Source organism: Homo sapiens, chromosome X (assembly GCF_000001405.40).
Source record: "Homo sapiens chromosome X, GRCh38.p14 Primary Assembly".
Taxonomy (NCBI): Eukaryota; Metazoa; Chordata; class Mammalia; order Primates; family Hominidae; genus Homo; species Homo sapiens.
Window position 1 is genome coordinate 72,822,344 of NC_000023.11, and position 22,060 is coordinate 72,844,403.

Consider the following 22,060-nt stretch of genomic DNA (forward strand, 5'->3'; position numbering starts at 1 on the left):
GGAACATTCTTGGTTAACTGTTTGTTGTTGTTGTTGTTGTTTTCATTAACCCCTTTGACTGTGACTTCTCACTACCTTTTGGTCCCCTTGGTTTCTGATAAGAACTCGGTTGTTAATCTTACTGGGGATCCCTTGTGTGTGGTGAGCTGTTTTTCTTTGCTGCTTTCCACATTCTCTCATTGTCTTTGATTTTCAACAGTTTGGCTAAGATGTGCCTCGGTGAAGATTTTCTTGAATTCATCCTCTTTGGAGTTTCTGTGGTTCTCATTTGTGTCCATTAATAATTTGAATCAAACTTGGGGAGTTTGGGCCATTATTGTTTCAAATGTTCTCTCTTTCTCGAGTTCCCATTTCTGTTGAGCCCCTCTAGTGAGTTTTTCGCTGTAGTTATTGTACATTTCCACTTCAGAATTTCTGCTTGGGTGTTTTAAAAACACTAATTTATATTCTGTGATGATTTCTCTATTTGTTGAGACATCATTCTCATACTTCTCTTTAATTCTTTTCACATGGTTTCCTTTAGTTGTTTGAACATATTCACAATAGCTGATTTGAAGTCTTTTTCTAGTAAGTCCAATGTCTGAGCTTCTCTCTGCGTGTTCCATACTCTCCTGTTTCTTTGCACGTCTCGTAAGTTTTTTGTTGAAAACTGGACACTTTAACTAATAGAACGTGGCAACGCTGAAATTCAGACTCTCCCTTCTTTCAAGGTATTGTTGTTGTTGTTTGGTGCTATTAATCCTGCTGTCACTTGTTTGTTTAGTGACTTTTCTGAACTACTTCTGTAAAGTCTGTATCCTCTGTTATGTGTGGCTACTGAATGCCCTGCTTGGTTGGCTTAGTGGTGACCTGGTGATTGGACAGAGATGTCTTTATATGCCTGGAAAAGGTAAGTTTCCCAGTCATTGCCATGGGGCTCTGTGGATATGTTGGACATGCCTTCAACTCGCAGCCAGGCAATTGACAACTCTTTCACAGAGCCTCAAAATAAACCAGAGTTGGCCGTTTAGGCACCTTTTGGGTCTTTGCAGACCATGTCATAGTCCTAGGTGAGTGTCTGGCCTTCTAGATTCCCAGGAATAGGTAATCGCTTTTAAAAGTCCCAATGGACACCTCGTTACCTAGATTTCCTTTTAAGGTATCGGTTAGCCTATTGTGTGCCCCAAGTGTTATCCATTGCCTGAGGCAGCTGCAATATTGAGCAATTGCCTCCAAATATTTTTCACAAATGCATCCAGGGAAAAAGGCGTTTCAAACTGGGCACACTCTGAGTCAGTCCAAATAAAGACAGCCATGTAAGTAGGGCCTTCCCGGGAACTACCAGACAGATCAAATAATGACAATTCTCGGGAATGCGGCTTTGCAGGAGCTCCAACCCTGTTCTGTTCCCTCTGGTGGCTGCCAGGCTGCTGGTTTTCACCATGATTGCAGGCTGTTGGTATTCAAGGCTACCATGGAGCTGCATAAAGGGCCATGAGGATAGGGCTAGTTGAAATGTCACATAGTTCACTGTTCCTAAAAAGATTCTGCTGTTTTTCTTGAATAAACACGCCCAAGGTTGCCCCTCAGCTTTAGGTGAATTTGCAGGTTTCCGAAAACATTCATTTTGACAATTTTTGCCAGTTTTCTCATTGCATTTACGAAGGGGAGAATTTTTAGAGGTCCTTACGTTGCTGATGTTGCTGACTCTCTGCACGAGTTTTCATTATACCTATCCATGAGGGTGTCTGTTGTTAGGTGGTCCCTCTGTGCTCGGAACTTACGTATCTCTCAATAATCACTTTACGGGTTACCGACCATGTGAAAGGGACCACAACCGGAGCTCTAGAAGCAAAGATGTATAGCTCACCACCTTTGATCTCAAAGTTGTCATTCTCAAGTAGATTCCATTTAACCAAAACATTTAAAGCCTTATGATCACCAAGCCTGCATCTGGTCACCAAATTATTTCTTAATTCAGTAAGATGGGGGCAGGGATGGAGGATCAAGGATGTGGGCTGTTTTTGGCCACCGTGTCTTAAATATAACCAGGCTTTTACCTGCATATTTGGCAGCAGCCTGGCTAGTATCTCTTGTCACAACAGGTTTTATTCCTAGCCACTTCAGAAGTGGCTGGGAGCCTCAGGGAGTAAGAGTGCAGATGAGGTGCTGCAGAGATGTCCCATATGAAGAGCTAGAAACTGAAATTTATTTCAACAACTGGGCTTGGTTTTGAATAACTCCTTAGCACCAATCTAGGATTTCCCACTGAAATGGCTTGATTTATATCGATGCAGCCCACCACCTGGGCAGTTATTAATAGGCCTTTAGGTAGAAAGCAGCAGGGACCCAAGAGACTGCTCTTTACACCACAGCGTGGAAACATAACTCCATCCCTCTCCTTTTGAATCAACCTCTGCATATCAACAAACATCACATGGTCATTGATCGAGGATCCCGTTAGTAACCTAAGACTTGAGTTTACATAGAATAACCTGTCTCTGAAACCCTTTGAACTGAAGCTGCTAACTTACTCACAACCTGTTTGTTGAGGGCGTGACTTCTCAAAGTATTCTGGTGCCTTGGATAAATATGTCTGTAAAGTTGCCAAGAGCCTTCAAATGACAGTATAATGTTTAAGAGTCAGACAAATTTTACTCTGAATCCAGGCTCTGCCACTTTCTTTCCCGTGACCATGGATAAATGACTTAGCTTCCCTCAACCTCAGATTCCTAACTTGCAAAACTGAGGATAAGACTAAAGGGATTGTAGGAATTAAAGATGACAATACGTGTAAAGCATGTGGTGCACTATCCGGCAGCCAGCTAATGCTTCAAAAAATATTAGGTTTAGTTACTATTGAGCAACGTCTTTTTTTATTTTCATTTTTATTTTTATTTTTATTTTTATTATACTTTAAGTTCTGGGGTACATGTACAGAACGTGCAGGTTTGTTACATAGGTATACATGTGCCATGGTGGTTTTATGCACCCATCAACCCGTCATCTACATTAGGTATTTCTCCTAATGCTATCCCTCCCCCAGCCCCCCACCCCCGGACAGGACCCGGTGTGTTATGTTCCCCTCCCTGTGTCCATGTGTTCTCATTGTTCAACTCCCACTTATCAGTGAGAACATGTGGTGTTTGATTCTCCGCTCTTGTGTTAGTTTGCTGAGAATGATGGCTTCCAGCTTCATCCATGTCCCTGCAAAGGACATTAACTCACCCTTTTTTACGGCTGCATAGTATTCCACGGTGTACGTGTGCCACATTTTCTTCTTTATCCAGTCTATCATTGATGGGCATTTGGGTTGGTTCCAAGTCTTTGCTATTGTGAACAGTGCCGCAATAAACATACGTGTACATGTGTCTTTATAGTGGAATGACTTATAATCCTTCGGGTGTACACCCAGTAATGGCATTGCTGGGCCAAATGGTATTTCTAGTTCTAAATCCTTGAGGCATCACCACACTTTCTTCCGTTTGAACTAATTCACACTCCCACCAACAGTGTAAAAGCGTTCCTGTTTCTCCACATCCTCTCCAGCATCTGACGTTTCCTGACTTTTTAATGACTGCCGTTCTAACTGGTGTCAGATGGTATCTCACTGTGGTTTTGATTTGCATTTCTCTAATGATCGGTGATGATGAGCATTTTTTTCATATGTTTGTTGGCTGCATAAATGTTTTCTTTTGAGAAGTGTCTGTTCATATCCTTTGCCCACTTTTTGATGGGGAAGTTTGTTTTTTTCCTTGTGAATTTGTTTAACTTATTTGTAGATCCTGGATATTAGCCCTTTGTCAGATGGATAGAGTGCAAAAATTTTCTCCCTTTCTGTAGGTTGCCTGTTCCCTCTGATGATAGTTCCTTTTGCTGTGCAGAAGCTCTTTCATTTAATTAGATCCCATTTGTCAATTTTGGCTTTTGTTGCCATTGCTTTTGCTGTTTTAGTCGTGAGATCTTTGCCCATGCCTATGTCCTGAATGGTATTGCCTAGGTTTTCTTCTAGGATTTTTATGGTTTTAGGTCTTATGTTTAACTTTTTAATCCATCTTGAGTTAATTTTTGTATAAGGTGTAAGGAAGGGATCCAGTTTCAGCTTTCTGCATATGGCTAGCCAATTTTCCCAACACCATTTATTAAATAGGGAATCTTTTCTCCATTGCTTGTTTTTGTCAGGGTTGTCAGAGATCAGGTGGTTGTAGATGCGTGGTGTTATTTTGGAGGCCTCTGTTCTGTTCCATTGTTCTATATATCTGTTTTGCTACCAGTACCTCGCTGTTTTGGTTACTGTAGCCTTGTAATGTAGTTTGAAGTCAGGTAGCCTGATGCCTCCAGCTTTGTTCTTTTGGCTTAGGATTGTCTTGGCTATGTGGCCTCTTTTTTGGTTCCACATGAGCTTTAAAGTAGTTTTTTCCAATTCTGTGAAGAAAGTCAATGGGGATAGCATTGAATCTATAAATTACTTTGGGCAGTATGGCCATTTTCACAATATTGATTCTTCCTATCCATGAACATGGAATGCTCTTCCATGTGTTTGTGTCCTCTTTTAATGCCTTGAGCAGTGGTTTGTAGTTCTCCTTGAAGAGGTCCTTCGTATCCCTTGTCAGTTGTATTCCTGGGTATTTTATTCTCTTAGTAGCAGTTGTGAATGGGAGTTCACTCATGATTTGGCTCTCTGTTTGTCTGTTACGGGTGTGTAGGAATGCTTGTGATTTTTTGACCTTGATTTCGTATCCTGAGATTTTGCTGAAGTTGCTTATCAGCTGAAGGAGATTTTGGGCTGAGACGATGGGGTTTTCTAAATATACAGTCATGTCATCTGCAAGCAGAGACAATTTGACTTCCTCTTTTCCTAATTGAATACCCTTTATTTCTTTCTCTTGCCTGATTTCCCTGGCCAGATCTTCCAATACTATGTTGAATAGGAGTGGTGAGAGAGGGCATCCTTGTCATTCAAAGGGAATGCTTCCAGTTTTTGCCCATTCAGTATGATATTGGCTGTGGGTTTCTCATAAATAACTCTTATTATTTTGAGATACGTTCCATGAATACCTAGTTTATTGAGAGTTTTTAGCATGAAGGGCTGTTGAATTTTGTTGAAGACCTTTTCTGCATCTGTTGAGATAATCATGTGGTTTTTGTCATTGGTTCTGCTTATGTGACGGATTACGTTTATTGATTTGTGTATGTTGAAGCAGCCTTCCATCCCAGGGATGGAGCCGACTTGATCGTGATGGATAAGCTTTTTGATGTGCTGCTGTATTTGGTTTAGCCAGTATTTTGTTGAGGATTTTCGCATCGATTTTCGTCAGGGATATTGGCCTGAAATTTCCTTTTTTTGTTGTGTCTCTGCCAGGTTTTGGTATCAGGATGATGCTGGCCTCATAAAATGAGTTCAGGAGGTTTCCCTCTTTTTCTATTGTTTGGATTCGTTTCAGAAGGAATGGTACCAGCTCCTCTTTGTACCTCTGGTAGAATTCGGCTGTGAATCCGTCTGGTCCTGGACATGTTTTGGTTGGTAGGCTATTAATTACTGCCTCAATTTCAGAACTTGTTATTGGTCTATTCAGGGATTTGACTTCTTCCTGATTTAGTCTTGGGAGGGTGTATGTGTCCAGGAATTTATCGATTTCTTCGAGATTTTCTAGTTTATTTGCATAGAGGTGTCTATAGTATTCTCTGGTGGTAGTTTGTATTTCTGTGGGATCGGTGGTGACGTCCCCTTTATCATTTTTTATTGCGTCTGTTTGATTCTTCTCTCTTTTCTTCTTTATTAGTCTGGCTAGCGGTCTACCTATTTTGTTGATCTTTTCAAAAAACCAGCTCCTGGATTCATTGATTTTTTGAAGGGTTTTTTGTGTCTCTCTCTCTCCTTCAGTTCTGCTTTGATCTTAGTTATTTCTTATCTTCTGCTAGCTTTTGAATTTGTTTGCTCTTGCTTCTCTAGTTCTTTTAATTGTGACGTTACAGTGTCGATTTTAGATCTTTCCTGCTTTCTCTTGTGGGCATTTAGTGCTATGAATTTCCCTCTACACACTGCTTTGAATGCGTCCCAGAGATTCTGGTACGTGGTGTCTTTGTTCTCATCGGTTTCAAAGAACATCTTTATTTCTGCCTTCATTTCGTTATTTAGCCAGTAGTCATTCGGGAACAGGTTGTTCAGTTTCCATGTAGTTGTGCGGTTTTGAGTGAGTTTCTTAATTCTGAGTTCAATTTCATTGCACTGCGGTCTGAGAGACAGTTTGTTATGATTTCCATTTTTTCGTTTGCATTTGCTGAGGAGTGTTTTACTTCCAATTGTGTGGTCAGTTTTAGAATAAGTGCGATGGGGTGCTGAGAGGAATGTATATTCCGTTGACTTGGGGTGGAGAGTTCTGTAGATGTCCGTTAGGTCTGCTTCACCCACTATTATTGTGTGCGAGTCTAAGTCTCTTTGTAGGTCTCTAAGGACTTGCCTTATGAGGCTGGGTGCTCCGGTATTGGGTGCATATGCATTTAGGATAGTTAGCTCTTCCTGTTGCATTGATCCCTTTACCATTATGTAATGCCCTTCTTTGTCTCTTTTGATCCTCGTTGATTTAAAGTCTGCTTCATCAGAGACTAGGATTGCAACCCCTGCTTTTCTTTGCTTTCCATTTGCTTGGTAAATCTTCCTCCATCCCTTTGTTTTGAGCCTATGTGTGTCTTTGCCCGTGAGATGGGTCTCCTGAATACAGCACACCGATGGGTCCTGACTCTTTATCCAATTTGCCAGTCTGTGTCTTTTAAGTGGGGCACTTAGCCCGTTTACATTTAAGGTTAATGTTGTTATGTGTGAATTCGTTCCTGTCAATATGATGCTAGCTGGTTATTTTGCCTGTTACTTGATGCAGTTTCTTCATAGCGTCGATGGTCTTTACAATTTGGCATGTTTTTGCAGTGGCTGATACCGGTTGTTCCTTTCCGTATTGAGTGCTTCCCTCAGGAGCTCTTGTAAGGCAGGCCTGGTGGTGACCAAATCTCTCAGCATTTGCTTGTCTGTAAAGGATTTTATTTCTCCTTCACTTATGAAGCTTAGTTTGGCTGGATATGAAATTCTGGGTTGAAAATCCTTTTCTGTAAGAATGTTGAATATTGAGCCCCACTCTCTTCTGGCTTGTAGGATTTCTTCAGAGAGATCCGCTGTTAGTCTGATGGGATTCCCTTTGTGGGTAACCCGGCCTTTCTCTCTGGCTGTGCTTTAACATTTTTTTCCTTCATTTCAACCTTGGTGAATCTGACGATTATGTGTCTTGGGTTTGCTCTTCTTGAGGAATATCTTTGTGGTGTTCTCTGTATTTCCCGAATTTGAATGTTGGCCTGTCTTGCTAGGTTGGGGAAGTTCTCTTGGATAATATCCTGAAGAGTGTCTTCCAACTTGGTTCCATTCTCCCCGTCACCTTCAGGTACACCAATCAAACGTAGGTTTGGTCTTTTCACATAGTCCCATATTTCTTGGAGACTTTGTTCGTTTCTTTTCACCCTTTTTTCTCTAATCTTGTCTTCTCGCTTTATTTCATTGAGTTGATCTTCAATCTCTGATATCCTTTCTTCCACTTGATTGATTCGGCTATTGATACTTGTGTATGCTTCACGAAGTTCTCGTGCTGTTTTTTTCAGCTCCATCAGGTCATCCATGTTCTTCTCTAAACTGGTTATCCTAGTTAGCAATTCATCGAACCCTTTTTCAAGGTCCTTAGCTTCCTTGCGTTGGGTTAGAACGTGCTCCTTTAGCTTGGAGGAGTTTGTTATTACCCACCTTCTGAAGCCTACTTCGGTCAATTAGTCAAACTCATTCTCCGTCCAGTTTTGTTCCCTTGATGGTGAGGAGTTGTGATCCTTTGGAGGAGAAGAGGTGTTCTGGTTTTTGGAATTTTCAGCCTTTTTGCGCTGGTTTCTCCACATCTTCGTGGATTTATCTACCTTTGGTCTTTGATGTTGGTGACCTTCGGATGGGGTCTCTGAGTGGACGTCCTTTTTGTTGATGTTGATACCGTTCCTTTCTGTTTGTTAGTTTTCCTTCTAACAGTCAGGCCTCTCTGCTGCAGGTCTGCTGGAGTTTGCTGGAGGTCCACTACAGACCCTGTTTGCCTGGGTATCACCAACGGAAGCTGCAGAACAGCAAAGATTGCTGCCTGGTCCTTCCTCTGGAAGCTTCGTCCCAGAGGGGCACCCCCCACATGCCAGCCAGAGCTCTCCTGTATGAGGTGTCTGTTGGACCCTACTGGGAGGTGTCTCCCAGTCAGGATACATGGGGGTCAGGGACCCACTTGAGGAGGCAGTCCTTCCCTTATCACAGCCTGAACACTGTGCTGGAAGAACTGCTGCTCTCTTCAAAGCTGTCAGGCAGGGACGTTTAAGTCTGCTGAAGCTGTGCCCACAGCCGCCCCTTCCCCCAGGTGCTCTGTCCCAGGGAGATGGGGGTTTTATCTGAAAGTCCCTGCCTGGGGATGCTGCCTTTTTTTCAGAGATGCCCTGCTTAGAGAGGAGGAATCTAGAGAGGCAGTCATCCTTGCTGAGCTGCGGTGGACTCCGCCCAGTTCAAACTTCCCAGAGGCTTTGTTTACACAGTGAGGGTAAAACCGCCTACTCAAGCCTCGGCAGTGGCGGATGCTCCTCCCCCCACCAAGCTCGAGCATCCCAGGTCGACCTCAGACTGCTGTGCTAGCAGCGAGAATTTCAAGCCAGTGGATCTTAGCTTGCGGGGCTCCGTGGGGGTGGGACCCGCTGAGCCAGGCGCTGGAGAGAATCTCCTGGTCTGCCGGTTGTGAAGACCATGCGAAAAGTGCAGTATCTGGGCTGGAATGTACTGTTCCTCCCGGTACAGTCTATCACAGCTTCCCTTGGCTAGGAAAGGGAAATCCCCTGACCCCTTGTGCTTCCTGGGTGAGGCGACACCCCACCCTGCTCTGGCTTGCCCTCCGTGGGCTGCACGCACTGTCCATCCAGTACCAACGAGATGAACTGGATACTTCAGTTAGAAATGCAGAAATCGCCCGCCTTCTGCGTCGATCTCACTGGGAGCTGCAGACCGGAGCTGTTCCTATTTGGCCATTTTGCCAGCTCTACCTGTGAGCAACCTCTTAATGCCATAAACACCCAGTCTGTTTTAGTGACCCAAATTAAGAGATTTGGAATCCAGTTGCCTCACCTGACCAACAGTGAGCTGCTTTTCCCCTGTGTTTCCACGGACGTAAAGTGGCCAGGGAGAGAGATCCTTCATGTTCATGACTCTCCCTGATATGCTTAGTGATGCTAGGTGACAACACAATCAATTCTCCTCAAATTAATGCACTTACATAATGGCCAATTTGCCACATTTACTGAATTTCCTGATTGTCATTTTAACAGCTTTCACAGGAGTACTAATTTTTGGTTATTAAAGATGAAATATACCTTTCTGAATATTAACTCAGTGGAGGTGGACATACCTTAGGAACTGGGGAAAAATCCAGAATTAAAGACTGAAAATTTTCTGAATTATTATTTTTTCAATCCAAAATCTGGCAGTTTGCATATGATAGAGTTCCTTAAATATTCTTGATATACGTGGGAGTCTTTCAAATACCATTAAAAAAAATCTATTCAACATACGTGCTTTTTTTTTTTCTTAGTGTTCTCTTGCATTTTTTTCAATGGCTTTATCAGACAGAATTGCTTATTTTGATTGGGAATAAAGATGGTTGACCAAATGCAGCTGGGATGTGCCTCTTCCCCAGAGAGGAAGCAAAATATTAAGTAAATCTGCACACTTCAAACACATCTTTTGAGAGAAAACATGGGAATTCAATAAAGGGGCAATGGAAGACACTGTGGTGGAAGAGGGAGGAAGCAGGACTGCCTGTTTGGTATTGCTGGGTGCCACGACTGGCCCCTGGACACAGACTGGACCCGAGGAAGTGGTGAGTGAAGGAACCCTAAGGCACCACATTCCTGCTGTGGACCTCTGAGATCCTAGACACAGGAGTTCCCTTTGGGCTGGCAGGCAGAGCTACAGGGAGAAGATGCAGAGGCACTGCTTGAACCTGTGTGGAGCCCAAAAGGCTTCAGTGTGCTGGGCAGCTGCAGCAAAACATGGCTCTAGGTGCCCACCCCCAAGGCTCCGTGTCCTGCCCTAAGCAGCTGCAGCTCCTACTGTCTGCTGGGCCGGGAGATAGCGGAGTCCAGGCGTGCTCATGTGCCCAACACAGGCCCCGCTGCCATTGCCCTGGGACCAAGGTGCATCTGAGCCACATGCCCCCGTGTTTGCCCCTCCTTCCCAAGACTGCCTGCCTGGCTATTTCTGTGGTGGTGGGGGTTGGGGAGGGCAGGAGGGGAGGGGGAGGGGGAGGGGGTGGGGGAAGAGGAGGAAATTCTTCCTAATTCATTCTATAAGGCCAGCATTACCCTGATGCCCAGACCAGACAAAGACACAGTGAAAAAGAGGAAGCTGCCGGCCAGTGTCCCTGATGAACACAGGTGCAAAAATCTTCAACAAAATACTAACAAACTGAATCCAACAGCACATCAAAAAGATAATACACCACGATCAATTGGGATCTATCCCAGAAATGCAAGGATGGTTCAACACACACGAATCAATAATCTGTCTCATCAACAGAACAAAGATTGAAAATGATATGATCAGCTCAGTAGATGCAGAAAAAGTGTTGGACAAAATGCAGCGTCACTTCATGATAAAAGCTCTCAACAAATTAGGTACAAATGGAATATACCTCAACATAATAAAAGGCTGTATATATAACTAACCCACATCATACTGAATGGAGAAAAGCTGAAAGCCTTTTCTCTAAGAACAGGAACAAGAGAAGGAGGCCCACTCTCACCACTCTTATTTAACATAGTACTGAACGTCCTACCAGAGCAATTAGGCACCAGAAGGAAATAAATGACATACAAATGGAAAGAAAGGACGTCAAATTGCACCCCTTCACAGATGACATGATCGGATAGATGGAAAAACCTAAAGACTCCCCGAAAACTCTTAGAACTGATAAACAAATTCAATAGAGTTGCAGGATACAAAATCTACGTACGAAAATCAGTAGTGCTTCTATGCACCAATAATGAACTAGCAGAAAAGGAAATCAAGAGAGTAACCCCTGCAGCCATAAGAAAGAATGAGTTCATGTCCTTTGCGGGGACATGGATGAAGCTGGAAGCCATCATTCTCAGCAAACTAACACAGGAACAGAAAACCAAACGCCGCATGTTCTCACTCATAGGTGGGAGCTGAACGATGAGAACACATGGACGCAGGGAGGGGAACATCACACACTGGGGCCTGTTGGGGGTGGGGGGCAAGGGGAAGGAGGGCATTAGGACAAATACCTAATGCATGCGGGGCTTAAAACCTAGATGACGGGTTGATAGGTGCAGCAAACCACCATGGCACATGTATACTTATGTAACAAACCTGCACGTTCTGCACATGTATCTCTGAACTTAAAGTAAAATTAAAAAAAAAAAAAAAAGGGCAACCCCATTTACAGTAGCTACAAAAAAAAAAAAAGTATCTAGGAATAAATGTGACCAAGGATGTGATAGATCTCCACAATGAAAACTTCAAGACACTGATAAAAAAAATTGAAGACCACACAAAATAATGGCAAGGCATTCCATGCCTATGGATTAGAAGAATGAAAATTGCTTAAATGACCATATTACCCAAAACAATCTACAGATTCAATGCAATCCCACCCAAAATACCAACGATATTTTTTACGGAAATAGAAAAAAATATCCTAAAATTCATATGGGACCCCAAGAGACCTCAAATAAACGAAGAAATCCTGAGGGGTTGGGGGAAGCAAACAAACAAAGCTGGAGGCATCACTCTGCCTGACTTCAAAATATACTATAAGGCTATAGTAACCAAGACACCGTGATATTGTTATAGAAACTTAAAGGCTTAAATGGAAGACTTGAAACTATAAAAATAACAAAGGAGAAAAGCTTCAGGGCATTGTTCTAGTAGGGCAAATATTTTATGGGTAAGACTACAAAAGCACAGGCAGCAAAAGCAAAAATACGCAAATGGGACCATATAAAACTAAAAAGCTTCTGTACAGCAAAGGAAACAATCAATAGAGTGAGGAGACAACCTGTAGAATGGGAGAAAATACTTACAAACTAATCGTCCGATAAGAGACTGATATCCAGAATACACTAGACGTTCAAAGAACTCAACAGCAAAACTCCCCCAAATAACACTATTAAAAATGAGCGAAGGATCGGAATAGACATTTCTCAAAAGAAGACATACAAGTCGCCAAGAAGTTTATGGAAGATTGCTCAACCTCACTAATCATCAGGGAAATGCAAGTCCAAACTACCGTGAGATATCCTCTCACCCCAGTTAGAATGGCCATTATGAAAAGGACAAAAAGATAAGTTTTGGCGAGGATGTGAAGAAAGGGGAGTTCTTACACATTGTTGGTCTGAGTGTAAATTAGTGCAGACATCATGGAAAACAGTACGGAGGTTTCTCAAAAAACTAAAAACAGAGCTACCATATGATCCAACAGTCCCTCAACTGAGTATTTATCCAAAAGAAAGGAAGTCGGTATATCAAAGAAAGATTTGCTTCCCCACGTTTATTGCAGCACTATTCACAATAGCTAAGATACGGAATCAACCTAAGTGTCCGTCGACATGAATGGATAAAGAAAATGTGGTATCTATGCACAATAGAACATTATTCGGCTACCAGAAAGAATGAAGTCCTGTCATTCGAGGCAACATGAATGAACCTGGAGGATTTTATGTTAAGTGACACAAGGTAGGCACAGAAAGACACAAATACCACACGTTCTCACTCATATGTGGAAGCTGAAGGAAACTGGGCTCATAGAAGTAGAGAGTAGAATTGTGGTTACTAGAGGCTGGGAAGTATAGAGGGGAGGGGAGGATAGAGAGAGGTTGGCTAATGGATACAATATTACAGATCGATAGGAGGAATAAGTTCTAGTGTTCTATAGCACTGTAGGTTGAATACAGTTAACAGTATCGTATAGTATATGCTAAGAAAAAGCTGGAAGAGGGGATTTTGAATGTTTCCAGCACAAAGGAATGATAAATGTTTGAGGTGATGGATACCCTAATTACTCTGGTATAGTCATTACACATTGAATGGATGTATCAAAATATCACTCTGTACCTCGTAAATATGCACAACTACTATGTGTCAACTAAAAAATAAAAGAAAAAAAAGGAAGACAAATACCACATGATCTCACTCATGTGGAATCTTAAAAAGTTGATCTAATAGAAGCAGAGAGTAGAATGATGGTTGCCAGAGGCTGGGGGTGACGGGGCTTGGGGGGGATACGGCAAGGGAAGATGTTGGTCAAAGAGTACAAAGTTCCAGTTAGACAGGAGCAAGAAGCTTTAGTGATCTATTGCACAGCATTTCTAGTTAAAAATAATGTATTACGTATTTTGAAACTGCTAAAAGAGTAGATTGTAAATGTTCTCGCCACAAAAGAATGATAGGTAGGTGAGGAGATGGATATGCTAATTAGCTTAGTTTAATCATTCCGCATTGTATACATATATCAAAACATCGTATTGTACCCCACAAATATATATAATTATTTTTTGCTTTTTTAAATAAAATAAATTTATAGAGACCGCTGCTTCTGGAAAGATGGAAAGATGGTGTAGTTGTACATTTCCCTATTCTTCCCACTAAGTACAACTTAAAATTCTAGACACTATATATAAAACAAACATAAGGCTGGAAGTGGAGAGAAGAAAGTAGACCAACTGGGGACCTCAGAACGACATGGTGGTGAGTTCCTTGGGTTTTGTTTTTGCCTGATATATCCCAAACTTGGAGCTGAAGAAACCAGCTACTAGGGAATGCCAAAATGCACAGGCAAAACGAAACAAAACTAAACAAAACAGGTGAAGAAACAAAGAAATAAACCTACAAAAGCCTGTTCTGCCTAGCCTAAGGATCAGAAAAGAGGCAGCCAAACAAGACAGAAAATATTTTTCACAATAACTGCTCTACTCCAGTCGAACACCTCAGAAAACTCTGTGGCCCCTTCCCCACTCATGCCAGCAAAGATCTAGTGGGGAGCGTAGACTTCCACATTCATTTCCATGGGCAGAGACGAGGGCCCCTTTGCGCTATCATATCACCAGGATTATGTGGAGATCTCCAACATATACTCCCACCAGGCCATAAGGAGACACCCCTCTTTGTCCCTGCTGGGATGATGTCAGGATTTTCACCACCACTCAGTGTTAAGGATGCCACTCAATCCATGGGCTAAAGAGAAAATCTTCCAGATGTAAACTAGGAGAGCCATTATGGAAAACAGTGTGAAGGTTCCTCATAAAGTTAAAATAGAACTACCATATGACCTAGCCTCCCCACTTCTGGGACTATATTCAAAAGCTATGAAATCAGCATGTCAGAGAGATATCTGCACTCCCATCTTCACTGCATCACTATTCACAATAGCCAAGACTTACAATGAACCTAAGTGTTCATCAGCGGATTAACGAATAAAGAAAAGTGTGGTCTATATACACAATGGAATACTGTTCTGCCATGTAAAAGAAGGAAATCATGGCGTTTCCAACAACACGTGGCATTTCCATGTGTGGAAGGTGAAAAAGTCGATCTTTTAGAGGTAGCGAGTGGAATGGTGGTTACCAGAGGCTGGAGTTTGGGGGAGTGGGGGAGATGTTGACCAAAGGGTACAAACTTTCAGCTAGACAGGAGGAATAATTTCAAAAGATCTATTCTACACCGTGGTGACTATGGTTAATAACAATATGCTGTATACTTGAAATTTGCTGAGAGTAGTTTTTAGGTGTTCTCACCACACACAAAAAATGGTAAGTATGTGAGGTAATGCATATGATAATTACCTTGATTTAGCCATTTCACAGTGTATACTTATTATCAAAACATCATGTTGTACACCACAAATATATACAATTTTTATTGGCCAATTTAAATAAAAAGAATACTGAAGACTAAATCTTCCAGGACTTCAGAAAGTGAATTGAACTGAATGGAAATGATTATAAAACATGTCAACATCTGTGGTGCAAAGCTAAAGCATTGTTGAAAGGAAAATTTATGCCATTAAGTGCTTCCATTAGACAAATGGAAAATTATCAAAGCAGTAATCTATGATGTCACTACACTAAACTAGAAAAAGAGGAGCAAAAGAAGCAGAAGGAAGGAAATGTGAAAGATAGGTAAAATAATCAATGAAATGGAAACCTGAAAAATAATAGAGAAAATCAATAAATAAAAACCGAGGTCTTTAAGAAGACCAACAAAACATACAAAACTCAACAAAGACTGACAAAATAAGCCTATGATGATTCACTGCCTCTGTGCATATTTACTGAATGACTTTAATAACTATAGTTATGAAACTTTTCATATAGTTGACTTTAGGAAGCTAAGCCCTTATGTTTTCAATATGAATCATACAATGGAAAGAAGAAATAAAAGAAACATCAGACTCTTGACTTAAATCACAACAAAATTTGATTTTTGAACTAACAGCCAGATCCCTGCCTTTCACCATAGAAACTAGTTTCTGCGATGTCTTTCACAATTAACTCGATTTCCTTTCTAAGAGGTAGACATGATACCCAAATAACTGCACTATGAGTTCAATTTTTCATGCTACGAGCGTGTCTTTGCAAATTGGAAAGTTCTTGGAGACAAAATTTCCCATGATTCATGTAATGCTAAAAGTAAGGTAGTTGAAATTTTTCAGACTTTGAATCAATTATTCTTCCATACTGTTAGAAAGGTCTTGTATTACATGGACATTTGAGTGGCGACTTAGGTGAAGGCCTTCTGCGTTCTGTAAAATATTATATATGTGGTCTCATAATTTTCTATTATGCGTTATGTAACTGAAATAACAATACCTTTTTATGAGGTCTCCACCAAAAATGTGTGTGTGTGTGTGTCTGTGTGTGTGTATTCTACAAGATCCGAGCCATTTTTTAGTTGGCCAAATTAATAACCTCAGATCCTCTTAATAATTATCATAAACTGCCTTTTTTGCTATTGCTGACCAATTAATTCTAATTTCAGGCAACGAATTTTGTCAATCTGATTAGACTGTTAGAGGGAAAATTCTTATCAAATTCATCATGTATTTGCTTACATTTCTCTTAATATTGTCCAGTTTATTCTCTTTACATTTCTTTCAACAAAACGAATAAACAGCTTGTGCTCTGTCTCTGCCACAGCAAATGCAACATCGACAACAACGAGGTGGGGGAGGGGGTGAGATGAGCTTTTTTACATCAAAATGCCCATCCATAAAAGCAGAAATGAATTATAGAATTAGAGAAATCACCACTTTTTAACCAACAAAGTAATAATCAAATCGGGCAGGAGCCCTGAATGAATACTAAGGCCAAGAGGTAAAATTCTGTTGGAGAGCAGAATATCCGCATGTCATCGAAATATCCTGACAGACTACTTATTAATCACAAAGGGAGAGAAGTACCTTCCCAGTGTAGTACTCTGTCTGAAAAATACCTTAGTTAAAGTGATAAAACTGATGAATACAAACAGCATCACCGATAACTAGAGAAACTGGCGTTAGGAGCCTCCAGATGTGACATAATGTGAACTGCTCATCACCTTCTTAATATTCGTACCCAAAGTGTCAAACATAAATATAAACAAGAGGCAAATATCAGGCCAGCCCGTATTGTGGGACACTTTACGAGACAACAGGCCTCGGCTCTGGAAAAAATGTCATCGTCATGGAAGGTTTAAAAAATTGTTTGGGGGTACTGTTTGCAATTAGAGGACACTAAAGAGACATGACAACTGTGTGCAGTGTACCATGCTTGACTGGATTGTTGATCCCCCAAAACGTCTTTCAAAAGGATATTATTGGGACATTTGGTGAAATTTAAATATGAACTGTATGTGAACTTGGATAGTATTACCCCTTCATTGTTACATTTCTTCAATGTGATAATGGCACTGCGGTTTCATAGGAGTACATTCTAGTGTTTAGGAGGTGCATGCTGAAGTAACTGGGTGAAGTGTTTGGAACTGCTACGTGGTTAGGCAAGAAAAAAAATTACTGAGAGATAAAGCAATGAGACAACGTGAATCTAGGCATCAGATTGTTCACTGTATTACCCCCTCAGCTTTGTGTATTTTCAAAATAAAACGTTGAGGAAAATAGATTCCTCATATTTAGAGTTACGCACTGAAATGTTTACAAATCAAATAAGATACATTAAGATATCCACGTATGATTTTTGTACTTTTTTGATTTCTGATATTTGCTTGAAAATAATCTGGAGGAGGGGGAGAGGAGAGGATATGTATGAAATGTGATTGGCCATGAGTCGTTAATGGTTGCAGTTGGGAGATGGATATTTGGAGGTTCCTTATGTTATCCTCTCTTGTGCTGTCGTTCTCAAAATGTGGTCCCCTACCAGCAGTGTTAGCATCACCAGGGAACTTGTTTGCTAAGCAAACTCGGCCGAGCCTGGTGGCTCACGCCTGTAATCCCAGCACTTTGGGAGGCCCAGGCGGGTGGATCACCTGAGGTCAGGAGTTCGAGACCAGCCTGACCAACACGGAGAAACCCCGTCTCTACTGAAAATACAAAATTAACCGGGCGTGGTGGTGAATGCCTGTAATCCCAGCTACTCGGGAGGCTGAGGCAGGAGAATGTCTTGAACCCGGGTGGCGGAGTTTGCGGTGAGCCGAGATCGCGCCATTGCACTGAAACCTGGGCAACAAGAGCGAAACTCCGTCAAAAAAAAAAAAAAAAAGAAAGAAAGAAAAGAGAAAAAGCAAAGCAAAGCAAAGAGAAAAAGCAAAGCAAAGCAAAGCAAAGCAAAGCAAAGCAAAGCAAAGCAAAGCAAAGCAAAGCAAACTCTGGGTCCCACCCCAGATCTTGTCGTCTGAGAATACAGATACGGAGCTCAGAAATCTTTGTTTTATCAAGCCCTCTGGGTGATTCTGATGCAAGCTAGTGTTTTAGGACCACTGCTCTAATGTACCATACACAAAAAAATTAATACACCATAGCTAAGTTACATTTACTATGGGAGAGGAAAGCTGGTTTGACATTAGCAAAGCTGTAACTGGAAGGGGACCCGAGAGAGGTTTGTGTGTTGCTCATATATTTTGTTGCCTGTTCTAGATACTAATTGCATGCGTATATTTAATTTTTGAAAACTCATTAAGAGGCCTGGCTTGGTGGCTCACACCTGTAATCCCAGCACTTTTGTCGGGCGGACTGCTTGGGCCCAGGAGTTCACGATAGCCTGGGCAACATGGAGAAACCCCGTCTCTACAAAATATACGAAAATTAGCTGGGGATGGTCGTGTGCCTGTAGTCCCAGGAGTTCACGATAGCCTGGGCAACATGGAGAAACCCCGTCTCTACAAAATATACGAAAATTAGCTGGGGATGGTCGTGTGCCTGTAGTCCCAGGTACTTGAGAGGCTGAGGCAGGAGGATTGCTTGAGCCCAGGAGGTGGAGGTTGCAGTGAGCCAAGATCACGACACTGCACTTCAGCAGCCTGGGTGACAGAGTGAGGGGCTGCTTTTTTGTTTCTTCTTTGTTTACAAATCAAATAAAGAAAGCAGCCCAAGGAAGGAAGGAAGGAAGGAAGGAAGGAAGGGTGGGAGGGAGGGAAGGAGGGAGGGAGGAAGGAAGGAAGGAGAAAGAGAAAGAGAGAGAGAAAGGGAGAAAGAAAGGGTAAGAAAGAAAGAAAGGAAAAGAAAGAAAGAGATAGAAAACTGATTAAGATATACATTTATGATTTTTTAACCTTTTGGATTATAAGTTAAACTTGGCTGAAGGTTTTGGAAAAAACCTGGGAAGTTACCTAGGCTGGGTATTCTAGAGATAATGGATTCTCCCATAACTGATCCATAGATTCAGTGAAAATGCAGTCCAAATCTGTTACAACCGAGTTTTTGGGAAACTTGAAATTGCATGCTAATTTATGCAGAAGGACAAAAGGCCTAAGACATTCGGGGGTGGAGGTGGTGTGGTGTAGGGAGAGAGGAAGAAGAAAGGAAGGAAGGAAGGAGGAAAGGAAAGAACGGAAAGGAAAGGAAGGGAAGGGAAGGGAAGGGAAGGGAAGGGAAAGGAAAGCAAAGAAAAGGAAACGAAAAGTTAAGGAAAACACAAGGAAACAATATTAATATGGAAATGCTGGCAGCATTCCTTTTAAAATCCGGAACAACCCAAAGAAGCCCAATTTTGCTGTCGCTATTAGATCTGGTACTAAATTTCCTAGCCAGCGCTGTTAAAAAACAAACAGCCAACCAACCAAAAAAAAAAAAAAAAAAACAAACAAACAAAAAACCCCCATAACTTCAATTCTATTTCTACTATGCATAAACTCACAGATAATCCCAGAACGCCTACTATAGAGTTTAGCATGTTGACAGACTTTAAGATCAAGTCACGTTTTTAAAAGTTAAAGGCATTTCTGTAAATTCGATCCAAATAGAAATTGTCCTTTTAAACAGACATCAAGTACAAGAACAGCAACAATCTACAGTATCTTGGAATAAATACAATAAATGATGTGCAAGATCTAAATATACAAAAGATGAAACTAAAAACTGAACTGAAAGATTAAAACATTAAGGACGCACATAAGTGGAGACATCCCAAGTTGGTGAACAGGAAGGCTGAGTATTCTACAGATAGTAGATTCTCCCCCTAACTGATCCATAGATTCAGTGAAAATGCAATCCAAAGCTGTTACGACTGAGTCTGGGGAGACTTGACATTGCATACTAATTCGTGCGGAAGGACAAGAAGGCAAAGAATGGCAAAGAATAGCAAAGATGTGTTTGGAGATGATGAACACCATGCAGGGACTTGCCCTAGCAGATGTCAAGATGTATTGCGAAGTGAAAAAATTTAAGACAATTTAGTAGTGGTACAGGAATAGACACATTTATCTGTGGAACATAACAGGGAGTTCATAAACAGAGACACACAAATATGGACGAAAGTGTCTCCAAGCATTGTTCCCTGGGGGTTGCAAAGTCACCACTGATTGGGAATCCGCGGCATGGAAATATGGATGGATCTTTAATCACATGCTGAATTTTTAAAAGGTAAATTACAAAATACCAAGTACATGAGTTATAAATGCATGCACACCAAATATTTCACACCCAAAGGGAGACTAATCTGGGAAACAAGCCCTGGGGAGCATAAAGCTCAACGATCACTTCACGATTTCTTGACTGACCTAGTACAGGGAGCGGGAGAAGCTACGGGGAGGTGATGGGGGCGTGGCCTCAGAACGTGAGCGTCAAGAGATCTCGAGGTTCATTGGTCGCCAGCCACAGCGGCGGGAGGTCGAAGGCAGCGCAAGAGCTCATTGGCCTTTGTGGCAAGAGCGGGAAGGGAAGCAGAAGCTGGATCTTCCCTCAGACCGTCTGACTGGTTCTGACTTGCCGGAGGCTGAGGCAACCACAGGCTGACATCAGAATTAGGTCCTCGTTCTCCACGCCTCTTATTTCCTCCCACCCTCCTGAGCCAGATTCCCAACCCCTTCCCCTCTCTGCTACCTCAGCAGGGAACCCCCAACTGCTCCTGATGTCCCATCGCGCCCTCAGCTCTCCCGGAATCCCTTTCGGGAGGACTCCTTGCTCCAGCCCCCTGAGCCCTGGCCTTTGGCCAATGAGGCAGGGCTCATGGGATTGCTTTTGATTCGGAGGTCCGGGAGGGAGTGGATGATTGGGCTTCCTGAGGAAGTGGTGCGCTCCAGGGTGGTGGGACTGCGTGTGTGGGGTGGGGTGGGGGTGGGGGGAAATGGTGTGCTCAAGCACAATTGTTGAAGTGTGGAGAGGATTATGGAAGATTTTGGGGAGGCTGTGGAGGGAATGTGTGGGTTTTCATGAAAGCAGAAAAGGTGTGTGAGTCCAAGAGAAACACTACTGCACTGAGGAGTTCCCTACTGGCTAGATCAGAACCTGACACTTCATAGGAGGCTCAACAGGTACCTGCTGAATGAAGAATCAAGGGAATCGGCCGGGCCCGGTGGCTCACGCCTGTAATCCCAGCACCTTGGGAGGCCGAGGCAGGTGGATCAGCCTGGCCAACATGTGAAACCCCGTCTCTATTAAAAAATACAAAAAATGGCGGGGCGCGGTGGCTCACGCCTGTAATCCCAGCACTTTGGGAGGCCGAGGCGGGCGGATCACGAGGTCAGGAGATCGAGACCATCCTGGCTAACACGGCGAAACCCCGTCTCTACTAAAAGTACAAAAAAATTAGCCGGGCGTGATGGCGGGCGCCTGTAGTCCCAGCTACGCGGGAGGCTGAGGCAGGAGAATGGCGTGAACCCGGGAGGCGGAGCTTGCAGTGAGCCGAGATTGCGCCACTGCACTCCCGCCTGGGCGACAGAGCGAGACTCCGTCTAAAAAAAAAAAAAATACAAAAAATTAGCCAGGCGTGGTGGCAGGCACCTGTAATCCCAGCTACTCGTGAGGATGAGGCAGGAGAATCACTTGAACCCGGGAGGCAGAGGTTGCAGTGAGCCGAGATCACACCATTGCCCTCCAGCCTGGGTAACGAGTGAAACTCCGTCTCAAAAAAAAAAAAAAAAAAAAAGGCCGGGGGGGATGCATGAAGGGATGAATGAAATTAGTAACTGAAAGAGGGCCAGGGATCCAGGAGAACAATATGATTTCATGGGATACAAGAGGGAAATCAGCTCAAAGGGGGAGCAAGGGAATAATTAAGTGTAAGGTGGAGTACAAGAAAAAAATCAGCATGAACCAGCATGAAATGTGAGGGGAAAATTGAATATAGGGCATAGAAGAGACTGACAATGGAATTGAGTGCTGGTGGCACAAAATCCTGTGCGGGGAGTGAATGAATGCAGGAGGTTCTGAAGAGAATTGGTGAAGTGGATGCCAGGAATAATACTTGGGTTTGGCAGAGTGCAGGATGATACACAAGAAGGGCGTGTAGTAATGGTGGAAGAGGGCAGGGGAGTGCATGTGCATGCCTGAAAGTGGGGTCTATGGTGAAGTGACGGTAAGCAAGG

The 22,060-nt window shown here is 42.6% G+C and overlaps 1 protein-coding gene across 7 annotated transcripts in view; it reads left to right on the forward strand.

The window, feature by feature from the left end:
• The window catches only part of DMRTC1B (DMRT like family C1B), a 71,914-nt gene that overhangs the window by 45,454 nt on the left and 4,400 nt on the right, over positions 1-22,060 (forward strand). The window contains exon 1 of one of the 7 annotated variants that reach the window (NM_001080851.2): positions 20,443-20,501. The exons of 4 other annotated variants lie outside the window; for them this stretch is intronic. The gene's annotated coding sequence lies outside the window, so the exon portion shown is untranslated. Of the gene's footprint in view, positions 1-20,442; positions 20,502-20,523; positions 20,766-20,898; positions 21,008-22,060 lie in introns of those variants that run through there. 2 more of the 7 variants (NM_001370147.1, XM_017029776.2) reach the window with 2 other exon arrangements.